At 48.5% G+C, this 14,707-nt stretch overlaps 1 protein-coding gene and 1 long non-coding RNA gene across 4 annotated transcripts in view, besides 3 other annotated features; one reads left to right on the top strand and one right to left on the bottom strand.

Annotated features, from left to right (window-relative positions):
* KCNS3 (potassium voltage-gated channel modifier subfamily S member 3) overlaps positions 1–2,513 on the bottom strand; it is a 55,112-nt gene extending 52,599 nt beyond the window's left edge. For 2 of the 3 annotated variants that reach the window (XM_011532825.2, NM_002252.5), the window contains exon 1: positions 1,554–1,693. The gene's annotated coding sequence lies outside the window, so the exon portion shown is untranslated. Of the gene's footprint in view, positions 1–1,553; positions 1,694–2,313 lie in introns of those variants that run through there. The other variant, NM_001282428.2, reaches the window with a different exon arrangement.
* Positions 1,573–1,622: a silencer, noted in NCBI's record as "silent region_11194". NCBI's record gives its function as "represses an Ori minimal core promoter by ATAC-STARR-seq in GM12878 lymphoblastoid cells {active_cell/tissue: GM12878}" and the evidence as "EXISTENCE:reporter gene assay evidence [ECO:0000049][PMID:35858748]".
* Positions 1,713–1,912: a silencer, noted in NCBI's record as "silent region_11193". NCBI's record gives its function as "represses an Ori minimal core promoter by ATAC-STARR-seq in GM12878 lymphoblastoid cells {active_cell/tissue: GM12878}" and the evidence as "EXISTENCE:reporter gene assay evidence [ECO:0000049][PMID:35858748]".
* Positions 1,923–2,082: a silencer, noted in NCBI's record as "silent region_11192". NCBI's record gives its function as "represses an Ori minimal core promoter by ATAC-STARR-seq in GM12878 lymphoblastoid cells {active_cell/tissue: GM12878}" and the evidence as "EXISTENCE:reporter gene assay evidence [ECO:0000049][PMID:35858748]".
* Positions 3,798–12,768, top strand: LOC124907737 (uncharacterized). Its single transcript, XR_007086226.1, has 2 exons — positions 3,798–4,995; positions 11,619–12,768. It is a non-coding gene; the product is annotated as an uncharacterized LOC124907737 (long non-coding RNA).
* The last annotated feature ends 1,939 nt before the right edge of the window (positions 12,769–14,707 follow it).

Genomic DNA, 14,707 nt, shown 5'->3' with positions numbered 1-14,707 from the left:
GAGTGCATCCTGGGGCCTGGCCCATGGCGGGCTGGTTGGAAATGCATACTGAACGAGTCAATCTCCTCAAGAAGGTCACCACCCAGGTAAGAAGTGGAGCCTGCACATTACACCAAGTTCAGCTAGAGAATCAAAGCCACCTCTTCGGCTCCAGATATGCAGGGAAGACAAAGCACGAGGGCATATGCCTTCAGCTAAGAGATAGGTGCGTGCTTCCTGTTTACCTGGGCAGGTATTTGCAAATAGTCTAAGAAGGGGGGCAACTAGGAGTGACTTACACAGTTCCAAGTGAATGGTTACGCAAATCGCTTGAGTAAATACAGGGAAAGAAACAGGAAAGGCTTCTGAACTGTTTGTACTCATCTGCTCCAGTATTTTCAGAGGGTAGGGTGAAAGACAAAAAACCCGAACGAAGGCTCCGGGCCAACCACAAAGCTACTCTCCGGCAGGAACGTAAGGAACACCTACCGCCCCTCCCCCCACTTCACGCCTTGGCACCAAACCAGGGCCCCTGGGTCATTTTGGCAGGTGGAGGTAGCTCTTTGCTGTCCTCTGCCCCTGCTGCGGGCCACCCGAGTGAAGCTTTCGGCTCGGTCTCCCCAGACAAAACCGGGGGGAGACATCAAGAATGCAAAAGGTGCTCCTTTCTCCAAATGAACGAGAAGGGACAGAGCGGGGTTGGGGGTGCAGGACAAGCCCTGCAATGCGAAAGGCGCCCAGCCAGGCTCGCCGCGGCCCCTGCCGGCAAGACTGGCTCGCTTGCTAGCCAAGGTGCCTCAGGAGGTCGGGCAGCCACCCAGAAAGGCGCGAAAAAAAAAAGAGGAGTTCCTGACCCCGGGGTGACCCTTCCCCACCACTGCCACTGATCCAAACGCAGAGTCCGCAAGTGACTCCACACCTGCGCTGCAAGCCTCACGCCGTCCCCACCCAGGGCGCAGCGCTGCACGAGAGCAAGGGCCCTGGGTTCGCTCTTCCCTGCAACTGTCGCGGGGCGCCTAGCACAGCTGCAGGGCAAAGGGGAGGGGAGGAATGACAAAGAAGGCGGAGCAGACGGCCCGGGAAGCATTTACAAGCGCCAGGAAAGCGCCTCCTCTCGAGGAAGGGAAGGAACGGCTTCCCGGCCAAGGAAACGCCCCGGGGATGCCCCTACGCGAGGTGCCGCCTTTCTTCGGCTCATCGATTCTCCCGCCTCCAGGTGGTCCTCCCCCTGACCATAGCCCACCCCACTCCCCGAAAGCTGATCCTAAATACCTTCCCCGAGGCTTTCAAATCAACCCAGCCACCGCTTCAACAGCCCGCAGTTCACGCAACAGGCGGAGCCTTAGGGCTCCAGCGACGGCGGGCTCTGGGGACCAGAGGATGCGGGCGCCGCGGGCCAGACGCCCAGAAGGACGGAAAGTGCTCTGCGGCCGTAGACCCTCGGGGTCGTGCACCCGCGACCTGGACCACAGGAGACTGGGGCAGCAAAAGGTGGGGGAAGGCGCGGTAAAGTTGCAGGGTCGCCCGGAGAAGTCTCCGGAGCGCGCAGGGAGGTGGGGACGCCAGCCAGGTACCTGCAGGAGTCCGGACGCATCCAGCTAGCTCCGCTCTGCGACGCCGCCTGCCCGCGCTGCAGGGATCAGGCCTCGCGGCGCGGCCCCGCGCCTGCCGCCGCGGCGGCGAGGAGAGCGGGGTGGCCCGCGTCGGCCGGTCTGTCCGTCGGTCCCGCCCCGCTAGAGCGAGGCTCCCGGGAGCTGCGGGCGGGGCGGGGCCGGACGGGACGGGGCGGGGCCCGCCGCTCGGCCGCCGCCCCATTGGTCGCAGCTCCGCCAGCCCCTCGCTTCGGGCCCGCAGCCGGGCGCCCCGGGCCGAGGGCGCGGGCGGCTGAGGACTGCGGGGCTCCGACCGCCAGACAGGCGGACAGACCCATAGACCTAGATGCTGCCCTGCCGGCCGCGCGCCCCCGCCCAGGCCCAAGTGCAGAGTCACCCCGGAGCGGCAGGCGCTGTCCGGGTGGGACCAGGAGCGCGCCCCGCGCCTCCCACCTGCGCGCCCTCCTGGGCCGGAAGCGCCGTGGCCCTGCGGGAAAAAGATGACCTCCCCCGCGGCCCCGGCGGCTGGGGCAACCGCCTTTCTAAAGTCGCGGCCCAAGCGACACTTTGCTAATTTGCCTGGATTTCCTCAGGAAATCGCGAGGCCCAAACTTGTTTTAAAACAAAGTGCGAAGGAGAGTACATATAGCTCCAGTTCCTGCCAATGTTTGCCATCGGTCCCGCTGCCTGAAGACTCAGGCACAGTGCAGAACAAGATGCTTTGTCTTATTCCTCCACTCACCGAGTCAGAAGAGGTGCTTGGACATTTGCACCAAGCAGATGCGCCTCATATGTAGAAGAGGAACCAGTCGGGTCCCCTTTCGGAAGGACGAATGGAAGAGGAAGTCAGGGGACGATGCCTTCAGCCGACGTTGAGGAACAAACCAGGACCTCGGCGAGGACAGCGTGTGGTCCAGAAGGCATCGCTGGCCTCGCTGCACTGAGCGAGAGCGCTCAGTTAACAGCCAGGAGGAGAAATGGGACGCTTCGGGACCCACCCCCGCGCTCCCCCTCCCGCCCCCAAACTGCAGATTTTTAAGTTGTGCAGACGTGGAACAATTCCTCGGAGCCAGCTGCTCCAAGCTAAGGCGCCCAGTGTTCCCTGGGTTCCTACCCGCAGCATACGCCCTGCCAGCTGCCCCCAAGCCAGCACCCGCTGACCACTCACCTCAGGCAAGCACCTAGGAAGACGATGCAGATTCAAGCTCCAGACCTTGAGCCAAGCGCTGGGGAGGGAATGGGGGCAAAGAGATGGTGGAAAACACTTTCCTGAACTTACTGAATACCCTATGTTATGTGTGGGTTTTCTAATTGTTCTTTGCTTAATGAAAAACCCACGTTGGAAATCAGAAAAAGGCAGTAATCCTCACCGTATCTTGTGGGCTTCAAAGAGGAGGTTTTCCCCTTAAAGGGAGTTTTGGTCCAGAGGAGAGGCTAACAGCAGGCAGGAAGGGCAGAGGAAAAGATAAAGCCTAGGGTGGTCTTCCCCCTGAGGCCTGGAGCCCACCAAGCTCCAACAGTTTCATTTGGCTTCTGGGAAGCAAAGTACAGATGCATGTGTCTGCAGAGCACTGTTCTGAGCCATTTGTCCCTAATTCCATGGTTCTTTGGTTCCTCCAATCTTGTCTCCTCTCCTGTGGAAGAGGATCCAAAGCATTGGTCCACACTGCTATTTACAAGTGGCTGAAGAAGGTAACTTTCTTACATAGTTCATCTTTAGCATAAGCTCTAAGATTGTTCTAAAAATATATTTACATTTTATCAACACCTTAGAAGAATGCTTCCAGATCTCTCCCAGCAGTTACCTATTTAATCATTTTAAAATCACTAAGTTTATCCAAAAAGTCCAGCATGGTTTACTTGAGAAGGAAATATGTTCAGAATCTCTAAGCACTGCAGAAGGCACCTGCAGTGCAGAAGAGTTGGCAGTGAGGTCTTTCTCCTGGGGTCTGGGCGGAACATGTGAGCAGTCGGGAAGGCACACACAGTGGGAGCCAGTAAGGGCCCCTGTGCATCTGCAGGAGCTGAGGACAGAAGGGGTGGGCCTCCACGGTGGGCATGTAGGAGTGGGCACAGAGAAGGGCCACAGATCTGAGACAGAGACAGACAGGACTTCTTACCCTGCTGAGCCCTGCAGGGAGCCACTTCGTCTTTCAGCCCTGATTTTGTCATCTGTAAGGAAATTTCCTCTCTCCCAGGGTAATCATGTGAAGCCAATGAAATAATAAAAAGGACCACATCGGATGACCCCTGAGGCAGGTCTGCTCCCCAAAAGTTTACTCTTGAATGTTGACCAAGGTTGAGCTAGGCAAAGTGGTAAATTCACACACACGGTATGTAGCCCCTTCCCCAACCCCAGTCTCCATTACCGGGGGCATGCTGTGAACTAACTGCCTCCTTTTCCCCACACACCCACTTCCTGCCCAGTCTTTATGCCTCCCGATATGACATCCCGTTCCCTCTTAATTAACTGTGCCTATAGAGAAACATCTAGATAAACCATGCATTTAATCTGTGAGGGGTCAATCATTTAATCATCGTTGACAATAATGCTCACTCCTCTGTGGTTTCAGAGGACTCCTGGAGTGGATGGAGACACATGCCACTAATGTGGGATGCATTTCAGTCTGTCTTCCAGGCCTCGTTTGGAGGTCTCCCTCTCTTACCCACCTATCACACATCCATGTCTTCCCTTCCCTCCCCAGAGCCAAACCTGTCCCCGACTTTTTATTCTCACTAAAGTTCAAATGACAGAAATCAGCTAGATTAGTACTTGCCTTAGTCCTGAAGGAAAGGGAAGTGCTCATTAGCTTCTTAAATTGGAACAGGTCTGCAGGTGAAAATGAAGATGTGCTCATCTCTGGCAGGAAGGTTGGGAGTGAGGGGTATAGTCATAATGAGCAGCGTTTATTTGGTGTGTGCCTCTCACTTGCCACTTTCTACCCAGCTGCCTGAATATCACTCCAGTTAGTCTGAGCACATGAAACACCTGCAACTCCCCAGACCCACCATGCTTTTTCTTGACTCTCTGAATGCACAGCAGTGCCTCCTCAGCTAAGAACACAGTTCCCCATCACCAAGCTTTGCTTTGCCCAACAGACCCCTTCTCCCTTAGGATGAGATTCAGTGGATAATCACATCATAATCACGACCCTCTGGGAAGCCGCCTCTCTCATCCTGGGTTGTGTGTTGTGTGTTTCCTTTCCACACTCCCTCAGCAGCCTTTGCCTCCCACTTTCATAGAATCTACCATATGGGATTTTAACTGTTTGTCTTCCACTAGACAATAAGCTCCTTGAAGACTGAATTTCCAGGAACTTCTGTTGGATCTGCATGTTTGTGAAGTGAATTACTGAAGGCTGCCCAGTTTCATCTGATCCTAGTCAAAACCTAAATCCCTTATTTCTACGCTACCTTTTGCCAGGTAAAAATAAAACATGTAAACCATCATATCGCTGTCTTTGCTTGGCTGCCAGGAAGCTCAGAACTAAATTTACATTAAATTAAATTTAGTTCTCAATCAGCTAGAATGTTTTTATTTCAGATTATTGCTACAATGATCATGCTCTTTTCACAAAATTATTGTATGCTTACTCTAACTGCCCTGTGGTATTATTTTTATATCAAAAGTTTCTTAAGGCCGGGTGCAGTGGCTCACATCTGTAATCCTAGCACTTTGGAAGGCCAAGGCGGGTAGATTGCTTGAGTCCAGGAGTTCAAGACCAGCCTTGGCAATATGGCAAAACCCTGCCTATATAACAAATACAAAAATTATCCAGGCATGGTGGTGCATGCCTGTAGTCCCAGCTAGTTGGGAGGCTGAGGCAGGAGGATTATTTGAACCTGGGATGTGGAGGTTGCAGTGAGCAGAGATGGTGCCATTGCCCTCCAGCCTGGGTGACAGAGAGAGACCCTGTCTAAAAAAAAAAGAAAAAGAAAAGAAAAAGAAAAATTCCTTAAATCTTTATGATCTTCAAGTACAAAGACTTGAATTCTGATTCAGCTCTGTCCCTGATTACCTCAGTGATATTTCCTCTTGGGCCCTACATTTGGGTTGGGACTATATCATCTTTAAGGCCCTTGCCAGGTCTAAAAGCTTTATGTTTCTATAGATAAAAGGAGACACTTTATAAATTATTAAAGAAAGAAAAAACCCTGTGACAGGCTATGTCTCCAGGCACAAAGGAATGCTGTCCTCAGGTACTCAGAATCACCCTCTGAAGGCCCTTGAGTATTGCCCAAGGTGAGTGCCACAGAACACCTGTGCCTGACCCTAGGCACGGAAAGGAAGGTGTTTACTCCATCACACTGGCAGGTCCTCATAACACTCTAGTATAGGAAAGGCTCTGTCTGAGAAGTTAGCCCATGAAAATATTTCCAGGGATGGCCTTCCAGATTGCTCATACTCTGGTCACAACTTGATTTTTTACCACATTTCAAGCTCTTCACACCTTTCTCTCTGCCTTACTCATTCATCACCACCTCCCCTCCCCTCTCCTCTGCACTTTCCTCACATTCCAGCCCGACAGAAGTGGCCCATCTCTCCTCTATGCTCACTGCATGCCATCTGAGTCTTGCCTTTCTGGTGCCTCGTTCCTATAGTGTTTCCTTCTCCACCGGAAAATGCCTGCTTAATCTCCAGGATCCAGTATATGTCACCCATTCTCTGAGGCTTTCTCTGACTCGCAAAGCAAATTTAGTTGCTTGCTCTACTGGGTCCCATTATACTTTGTACAAAGCTCCGATTACAGTTAGACTCCTGTACTATCATTCATTGTCTATATGGATGGATTAAACTGTGAGTTCCTTGAGGGCAGGAACTAAGTGGTGTTGTTCATCTCAATATCTTAAGAGCACATTATAGATGCTCAACAAATACTTTAAGAATGAAAAGTGGCCAGGTGTGCTGGTTCATGCCTGTAATCCCAGCACTTTGGGAGGCCAAGGTGGGTGGATCACTTGAGGTCAGGAGTTCGAGACTAGCCTGGCCAACATGGTGAAACCCCATCTTTCTAAAAATACAAAAATTAGCCAGGCATGGTGGCGGGTGCCTATAGTCCCAGCTACTCGGGGGCCTGAGGCCTGAGAATCGCTTGAACCTTGGAGGCGGAGGTTGCAGTGAGCCAAGATTGCACCACTGCACTCCAGCCTGAGTGACAGAGTAACACTCTATCTCAAAAAAAAAAAAATGAATGAAAAGGGAGATGATTGGATGCCTGCATAGATAACTGGATGGATGGATGAACAAAGACAACAGGGGAAGGTATAGGAAAGCAAACCAAGAGGGAGCAAAGACCAGATATGTCATCCTCATGGTTGTTCCTCTGGGGGCATTTCGCACCTCTTTAGTAGCCCTTCATTTGTGGGGTGGAACTTAAGGCACAGCCTTCATTTCCAACTAGACAAATGAAGAGTATCCCCATGACAAAGAATCCTGGGCATACCCTCATGATCATTTCTGCTTTCTCAGTAATAATATCTCCAAGTATTACTGGGTACTAGAGTGACCAGCTCTTCCCAGTTTGTCTGAAACTGCCCCAGTTTTAAAATTCAAAGTCCAGCATTTCAGGAACCACTACATTCCAGGGCAAACCAGGACAGTTGGCCATCCTCCTAGCGATATTGCTGCCTAGGATAAAATCTACACATCCTAGCAGTGAGAGGACAGCATGTACCTGACTTATTTCCTATGGGACGTCAGTGGAAGTGGCACATTCAGCTTCTGGGCAGTGTCCTCACAGGAAGAGGGGAGTGCCCTTCCCCTTCCCTCTTTTGCCTTCATGCTCTCTGGAGCACAGAGAAGATCACTGGATCTGGATAGACATTTGAACCCACAGGTACAAGCCACATAATAAGGATGGTCAGATGAGTAGCTAGAAGGGGCCTAGGTCCTCTTAACAGCACTGGACTGCCCTCATTTATATGAAAGAAAGAAACTAGCATCTCATTTCAGCTGTTGTTATTTGTGGTTTCTGTCACTCACATCCATCTTCAAGGGTAGAGTTTCTGCCTGCTGAAAAGTGGGGATTCGGATGTCGCCCTCACACCTGGGTGCTGGCATCTGAAGATCCCTCTTTTTCATGTTCCCCAGTCCCTTGTATTATGAAAATACCCTATGTTGAAGGCGAGAGTAGCCCACACCTTCTGGCCCAGGTACCAGGTCCTAGTCTGTGTGTCTGGTGAGGTGACAATGGCAGTCAGTTCACTCCCTCCCACCTCCCATGTGCAGGCCACTGAGAGCTCCCAACTCTAAGCCAGAGGAGGTTCTGATAAGTGCTAGGCACAGCTGAAGTTTTATTCTAAAGCATGAGCAAACTGGGGGATTGTGTCAGAAGTATTCAACCTGTTGATGAGTTTCAGTGTGTTACAGTTTTGGCATAGCACTCTTGAGTCTTCATGATGGTTTTCATTAGTTCTTATAAGTTAAAATATTTATAAATGAGATTCAAATAAAATGTTTAAGGAATCCCACGAAGAATGGAAAGAAAGGAAGAAAGGAGGGAGGAAGGGAGAGAGAGAGAGACAGAAAGAGAGGAGTAGGCAAGAGAGGGAAGGAGGGAGAGAGGGAGAGAGAGGAAGGGAGGGAGGGAGGGAAGGAAGGAAGGAAGGAAGGAAGGAAGGAAGGAAGGAAAAGAAAGAAAGAAAGAAAGAAAGAAAGAAAGAAAGAAAGAAAGAAAGAAAGAAAGAAAGACCCTATGTTACCAGAATCAAGGCTGCTAGGACAGAGCCTTCCTTCAGCCCTGTGGGAAATAACTGGCAAACTCACTACCCGGCTCTTAGTGATATAAAGAGGAATGACAGGTCTAGTGTGACCCAGGGTTGGGGAAGGGAAGGAAATAGGAGTGTCCATCATCGTGAGACAAAGGGTTCTCTAAGTGCTCAAGTGGAAACCCATCACCCCACAACACAGGCACCCAGGTTCTCCCATGTGTTCCAGAAAGCCTGTGTTAAACTAAATATCATACACAAGAGGGCCACACGTGGCATCACTAGGCTGCATCTGTGAGGAAGTTGCCCCCTATCCTCTGAAAGAAAAGGGGCCTGGAGTCAGCTGTAACCACCCTGAATGTGCTCCTCAAGTGGAGGTGGGAGACGAGGTCAGGGCCTGAGGCCCGCCTGGGGCAAGGAAGGGAGCCCAAGGCCAGGCATCCAGGCACAGGCTCAGCCAGGAGCCTGGGGACTAGAATACTCATTCTTAGGGTTTAAAAAAAGAAAATGTGTGTTTAGACACTATTTTTCTGAATGTCTTTCTGTTCTACATATTTTGTCTTGTTTCATTTTCCATTAAAATTTCTTTTGAAAAAAAATCACCATTTCTTTTCACAATAATGAGAAGGAAATTCTTCCATTTCAAAATATGGTGGTGAGAAGGGTTCAAAAAGTCTTTCTGGATGAGCACAGTGGGCAGTGAACGCCCCACTCTCTGTAAGCAGTAACTCACAGGTCATTTCATCTTGAATGCACCTCACTCTTCCTCTTTATGAACAGCTGGAAATATTGAGGAGTGTTGGTCAGCTGCACTGACTTATTCATCTTTCTTTCCTTCTTTTATTTCCCTTGGATGCAGAGGGTTAACTTGACCATACTCTTCAGTTACGGCATATTGTCATCATTAGCATGTACAAGGCCTCTCTCCTGGTTTGTTTGTTAGTTTGTTTGTTCGTTTTGCTTATTCCCTCTTCCACACTTGCATGGCCAACCCACTATCCATAGGCAGCCATTTTTTTTTTTTTTTCCGTAGACGGAGTCTTGCTCTGTCACCCAGACTGGAGTGCAGTGGTACAATTTCGGCTCACTCCAACGTCCACCTCCCAGGTTCAAGCAATTCTCATACCTCAGCCTCCCAATTAACTGGGATTACAGCCGCCCACCACCACACCTGGCTAATTTTTTGTATTTTTAGTAGAGATGGGGTTTCACCATGTTGCCCAGGCTGTTCTCAAACTCCTGACCATCAGTGATCCACCTGCCTTGGCCTCCCAAAGTGCTGGGATTACAGGCGTGAGCCACCATGCCCAGCCATATAGGCAGCCATTCTAACATGCTTATTGATAGTCTCTTTTTCCATGTGTCCCTATAAAATGTATATGACTGTTTTGAATGCATACTGTTTTAATTTATGTAAATGGTAATTTGTCCTTTATCTCAGTCTTTTCTTGTGTTCCACTCCACACGGTGGGGTGTTTTTAGCTCCATCACTCTTGCTCTGGGTGCATCTGGCCTGTTTCTCATTATTATCATGTTATCCACATGCTGCCCAACACTCCCCAGGGACAGATGCCCAAACTACCCCAAATGCCCCCCAATACAAACAACACTGGGATGAACATCCTTGCATGTGCCACTTTATGCACATGGGGAGAATGTGAGGGGGATATATACACAGTGCAGGATTGCTGGTTAGAATACGAACAGAGCTGATATGAGAATATTGAAATGCTTCTGCATTGGCTGGTAAATAGCCACGCCCCCAAGCCCCATGAACATCCTTCCTGTTGCCCCAGCCCTGTCCCAGGGACACTTCAGATTTTCCACGCTCTCAAAAACTACAGAGTTAATGTCTGGGGCAGCTAGAACTGACAGTCTTTCTAGCAGTTGCTAAATATTTCAGTATCATCCCTGGATACAGTAAGATTGTCTCAATCCTTATTTCTCTACAGAACAGCTAAAAACAAAAACTTACCAGTCCAATCTCCAGTTCAACCTTTAAGAAATAGTAAACTGCAGGAACCCTGCTGATATTTCAGTCGGCATTACCAAAGTCACGTTCTACTCTGCCTGCCCAGAGATGTGGAAGCCAGCAGGCTGTGACTAGTCTTCTGGTGTCAGGACCAATGCAGCCAGAGGCAGTTGTCCCAGCAGGTGAAGAGCACTAGACTCCACACCTCGAGTTTTAACTTAACCCCGTCCCTCTCTAGCTGAGTGACTTTGAGCACATCATTTCTTTCTCTGATCCTCGGCCTCCTCATTTACAAGATGATTTGATACAGAGCAATAGAGAGGAAAGGAAAAGCTATATGGTGTCAGGCTCAGCATTATACTAGCTAAGTCACCTTGGCCCACCTGTGCCTCAGTTCCTCTCATGCAAAATGAGGATAATGATACTGTATTGTAAAGTCTGAAATTCCACGTGCCACTGACATCTTTGAGCCTCACAGTTCTCCAGAGGCTTAGCCATGAGTTCCCATGCTCTCGCTAGATATGCCCCCACACAGTGGTAAAGGCTCCCTGCCTGGCTATATCCCCTATCAGCTGGACCAGCTGCATCCCCTAACCCTAACTCAACCTAGTGGATTTTACCTCCCTGCCAGCCCATGAAACTACTCATAAAGCCAATCACATCCTCTCAAGGAAACCAAGAGGCACCTGACGCTGTTGTCATTACAAAGCCTGCCTCCCACAGTCCCTGTTGGTTCATTCTGCTCCTGAGTGCCACCCCATGTGGCCCTGCATAGCAGGCAGCATCCTCCACCCCAGGGCTGCGAGTATATGTGACTAATACACTGCCGTCAGAACCACGTGTCAAGTGTCACGTGTCCTGTGTGCAGTCATCCCATGCTATTTAGGGCAAAGGAGGCCTCCTTTACCAATGGAATGACTAGGAGGTGATCAGAACAAATGCCTATCTTAAAGAGTTGAGAAATTGAAGGGAATGATATACATAAAGCACCTAGCACCTTGCCTAGGTCTGGTAGAAGCTCATGCAAACAAAAATAAAAGCAAACAAGAACATAGCCAGGACAGGATGTTGGTAACAGCCAGAGGTTGAGGCACTGCCGGAACCTGGGTGGGAATCAAGCAGAATCTCTCTTATGTGCTTTTGAAAAGACCCTACCTTGTGCTGACTGACTTCATGTTTCATTGCCAAAAATGAAAAAACACATTAAAAAAAATACACTCCTAGGAACATGTTCTTTTTTGTAGGACAATGAGAAATGTCATTCAGAATTAAAATGGTGACTGCTTGGACAGGCTATATTTTTGCATTTCCAGGACCTGAAAGATAAGATTGTAATATAAGACTGCTTTCTTCTCCAAATCCCCCAGCACCTGAAAATGATGCCAGGTTTCTGGAATCCACGGCAGCAATGGGTGATAAGTCTCCAGCATCTGGGTGACAGCAGACTGACTCTGCTCTCAAGTCTCATTAATCCACATTGTAAGTCACACTATGTCCCTTTGGCTCCATTTTCTTACCTGTAAAATGGGGATTTTGAACTTACTAATATGCCAGACACAAAGCTAAAGAAAGGAGCTGAAGAGACAGGATAAAAAAGACGAATAATAGGTTCCTCCCTGTAAGAGCTCACAATTCAGTGGGCTGACATCATCGGCCTTATCCACCAGATAGAGTGTTAGAATAACAGGATAGCAGGATAGAGAGTTGAGAGATAAAAGCACCATATAATGTGACAGGAACTGCCACTTGTCACTCAATTTCCATTCTGCCCTGCTATCTTAGTAACAGAACTCCTGTTTTTATGGGGCAGACATGTCCCCAACTAAACACATTATATTTCCCAGCCTCTCTTGCAACTAGTGTAGAGAAACCAACTTTTAGAACCAGATGTAAGCCTATACATTCTCTTATGTTTCCAGGGAGTCTTTTTAAAAAGGGGAGCCATGCCCTTTTCCCTTTTGTCTTCCAACCTCCTCCCTAGAATGTGGATGAGGTGACTGGAGTTCTTGCAGCCATTTGGGGCCATGAGAACAATGGGTACACCTTAGGGATGGCAAAGAGTGAGCTAATTGGAATATGGGGCCCTCACCTCTTTGCAGGGCTATTTTATCCATGTTGTATACTGCAAATCACTGTACTTCTCTCACCTGAGAAACAAACAGCTAACTTGTGTATAGATGTGTGTGTATGTGTGTATTAATGCAACTGATTCCACTCTCAACTGATGAACGAAAATATTTAATATTAATAAGTATTACACATAATCCCTACTTTATTTAGCTCCTAAAGATCTCATGAGATTTATTTTAAAACTAACATGCTTCAAGAATTTTTTTAACTTCTGGAATATCAAGTGATATGGTGGTGCTGAGCAATGCAGGTATTTTCACAACTATCTTTAGGAGATTCAAATCAATGCTTGGGCTCAGGTCACTTTATGACTGAGAAGTCTGGAAAATTGTATTTTCTTTTGAAGTAGCAGGTGAACTTGTAGGACAATAAATCAGCTAGACATGACTTGAGCCCTCATGTACCCTCATTCACAAGCATATGCACACGCTTACCTGCATGGATGGACATGTACTTTCAGGAAGCCACACTATGCATCACACGCATGCATAGCCACACACAGGTACACTTTCACATCCATACTCAATAGCAGGCTCCAGTGGATTTCCTGCAATTTTGAAGGCCCTGGATTTTCCCTTCACCAGAACACTACGTTATTATGAGTTATTATTTTCAAGGACTTGGTTATACAAGGCTGGAAGTGGTGTGATGAGTCATAAAGAGCAAGAGCAAGAAAGCTTAGTAGTCAGTCCTTGATGGTGAAGGTGGATTCATGGAAAAGCAGAGAAAGGCAGATTCCCTACTACACATAAGTTCCAGGGTCAGAAGGAGAATCCTGATGAGCCAGGGGCAGTCTGAACATCCAGAGGCCTCACCTTCATGGAGGATACTGCATGAGAGTGTGAGTTAAGCTCCTCCCTGAGCTCCTGTCCTCCCCGCTCCAGGCCTGCTCCTCTAGACAAGCAATTTTCAATTGATTCGATCACTGCTTGTATATTTTGCTATCTCTTTGAGCTCAGCCTCTAGCTCTGATCCCAGTCCTTTGAGAACCTCCTCAGTGCTGTACACTATGCTCAGGATTTAAGAAAACACAAAGATGAAGAAGACACAGTCTCTGCTCTCAAGAAGTGACATTCTATCAAATAATTGAGAAATAAATATTGATAGCCAACTCCATAAAAATAGATAGATAATTACAGGAGTTGATACAAATCGTAGAACCTTGGCAAATTCTCAGTTGTCTCATCTGCAACTGAAGAATAATAACTTCTGCCATCAGCAACTTGTGAGCTTAGAGAAACTACCCTCATAAATTATTTAGGGATTCCCTCTGCTACTCAACAAACCTTTTACTCAACTCTAGTTTATTCAACATTTCCCAGAAAACCCCATCCAAGTCTTCCCCACTCTAAACCCTGGAAATCTTCATACCAATTCAATCCCCAGGTCTCATTCACAGCAGAGAATTTGTCTACCTACTTACTAAGAAAAAAGGCCAGAAGCAGTGGCTCACGCCTGTAATCCCAGCACTTTGGGAGGCTGAGGTGGGCAGATCATGAGGTCAGGAGTTTGAGACCAGCCTGGCCAATATGGTGAAACCCTATCTCTACTAAAACTACAAAAATTAGCCAGGCATGGTGGCACATGCCTGTAGTCCCAGCTACTCGGGAGGCTGAGGCAGAAGAATCACTTGAACCCAGGAGGCAGAGGTTGCAGTGAGCCAAGATAACACCACTGCACTCCAGCCTGGGTGACAGAGAGGGACTCGATCTCAAAAAAAAAAAAAAAAAAAAAGAAAGAAAGAAAGAAAGAAAATAGAGGCCACAGGAGTTATGGCCGCTCAGTTTCCATCTTGTCTATCTTGAAGTCTCCCTTTATCTCCTGCCTTGAAGAAAGATGCTTATATCCAAGTACTTTGGAGAGTCAAAACAATAATGACCAAGAAATCCAAGACCATAAAAAAATAGAGTTTTAGGCCGGGCGCGGTGGCTCACGCCTGTAATCCCAGCACTTTGGGAGGCTGAGGCAGGCGGATCACGAGGTCAGGAGATCGAGATCATCCTGGCTAACACGGTGAAACCCCGTCTCTGCTAAAAATACAAAAAATTAACCGGGCTTGGTGGCCGGCGCCTGTAGTCCCAGCTACTCCAGAGGCTGAGGCAGGAGAATGGCGTGAACCCGGGAGGCAGAGCTTGCAGTGAGCCGAGATCGCGCCACTGCACTCCAGCCTGGGCGACAGACAGAGACTCCGTCTCAAAAAAAAAAAAAAAAAAAAAAAATAGAGTTTTAACAAACAATCGCTGGTCTGAATGTGTTTCCCAAAATTCATGTGTTGAAACTTAATGGCCAATGTCACAGTATTAAGAGATGGGGCCTTTAGGAGGAG

Source organism: Homo sapiens, chromosome 2, assembly GCF_000001405.40.
Source record: "Homo sapiens chromosome 2, GRCh38.p14 Primary Assembly".
Lineage (NCBI taxonomy): Eukaryota > Metazoa > Chordata > Mammalia > Primates > Hominidae > Homo > Homo sapiens.
The sequence above is the reverse complement of the archived record's forward strand: the minus strand, read 5'-3'. Positions and strand labels throughout refer to the sequence as shown.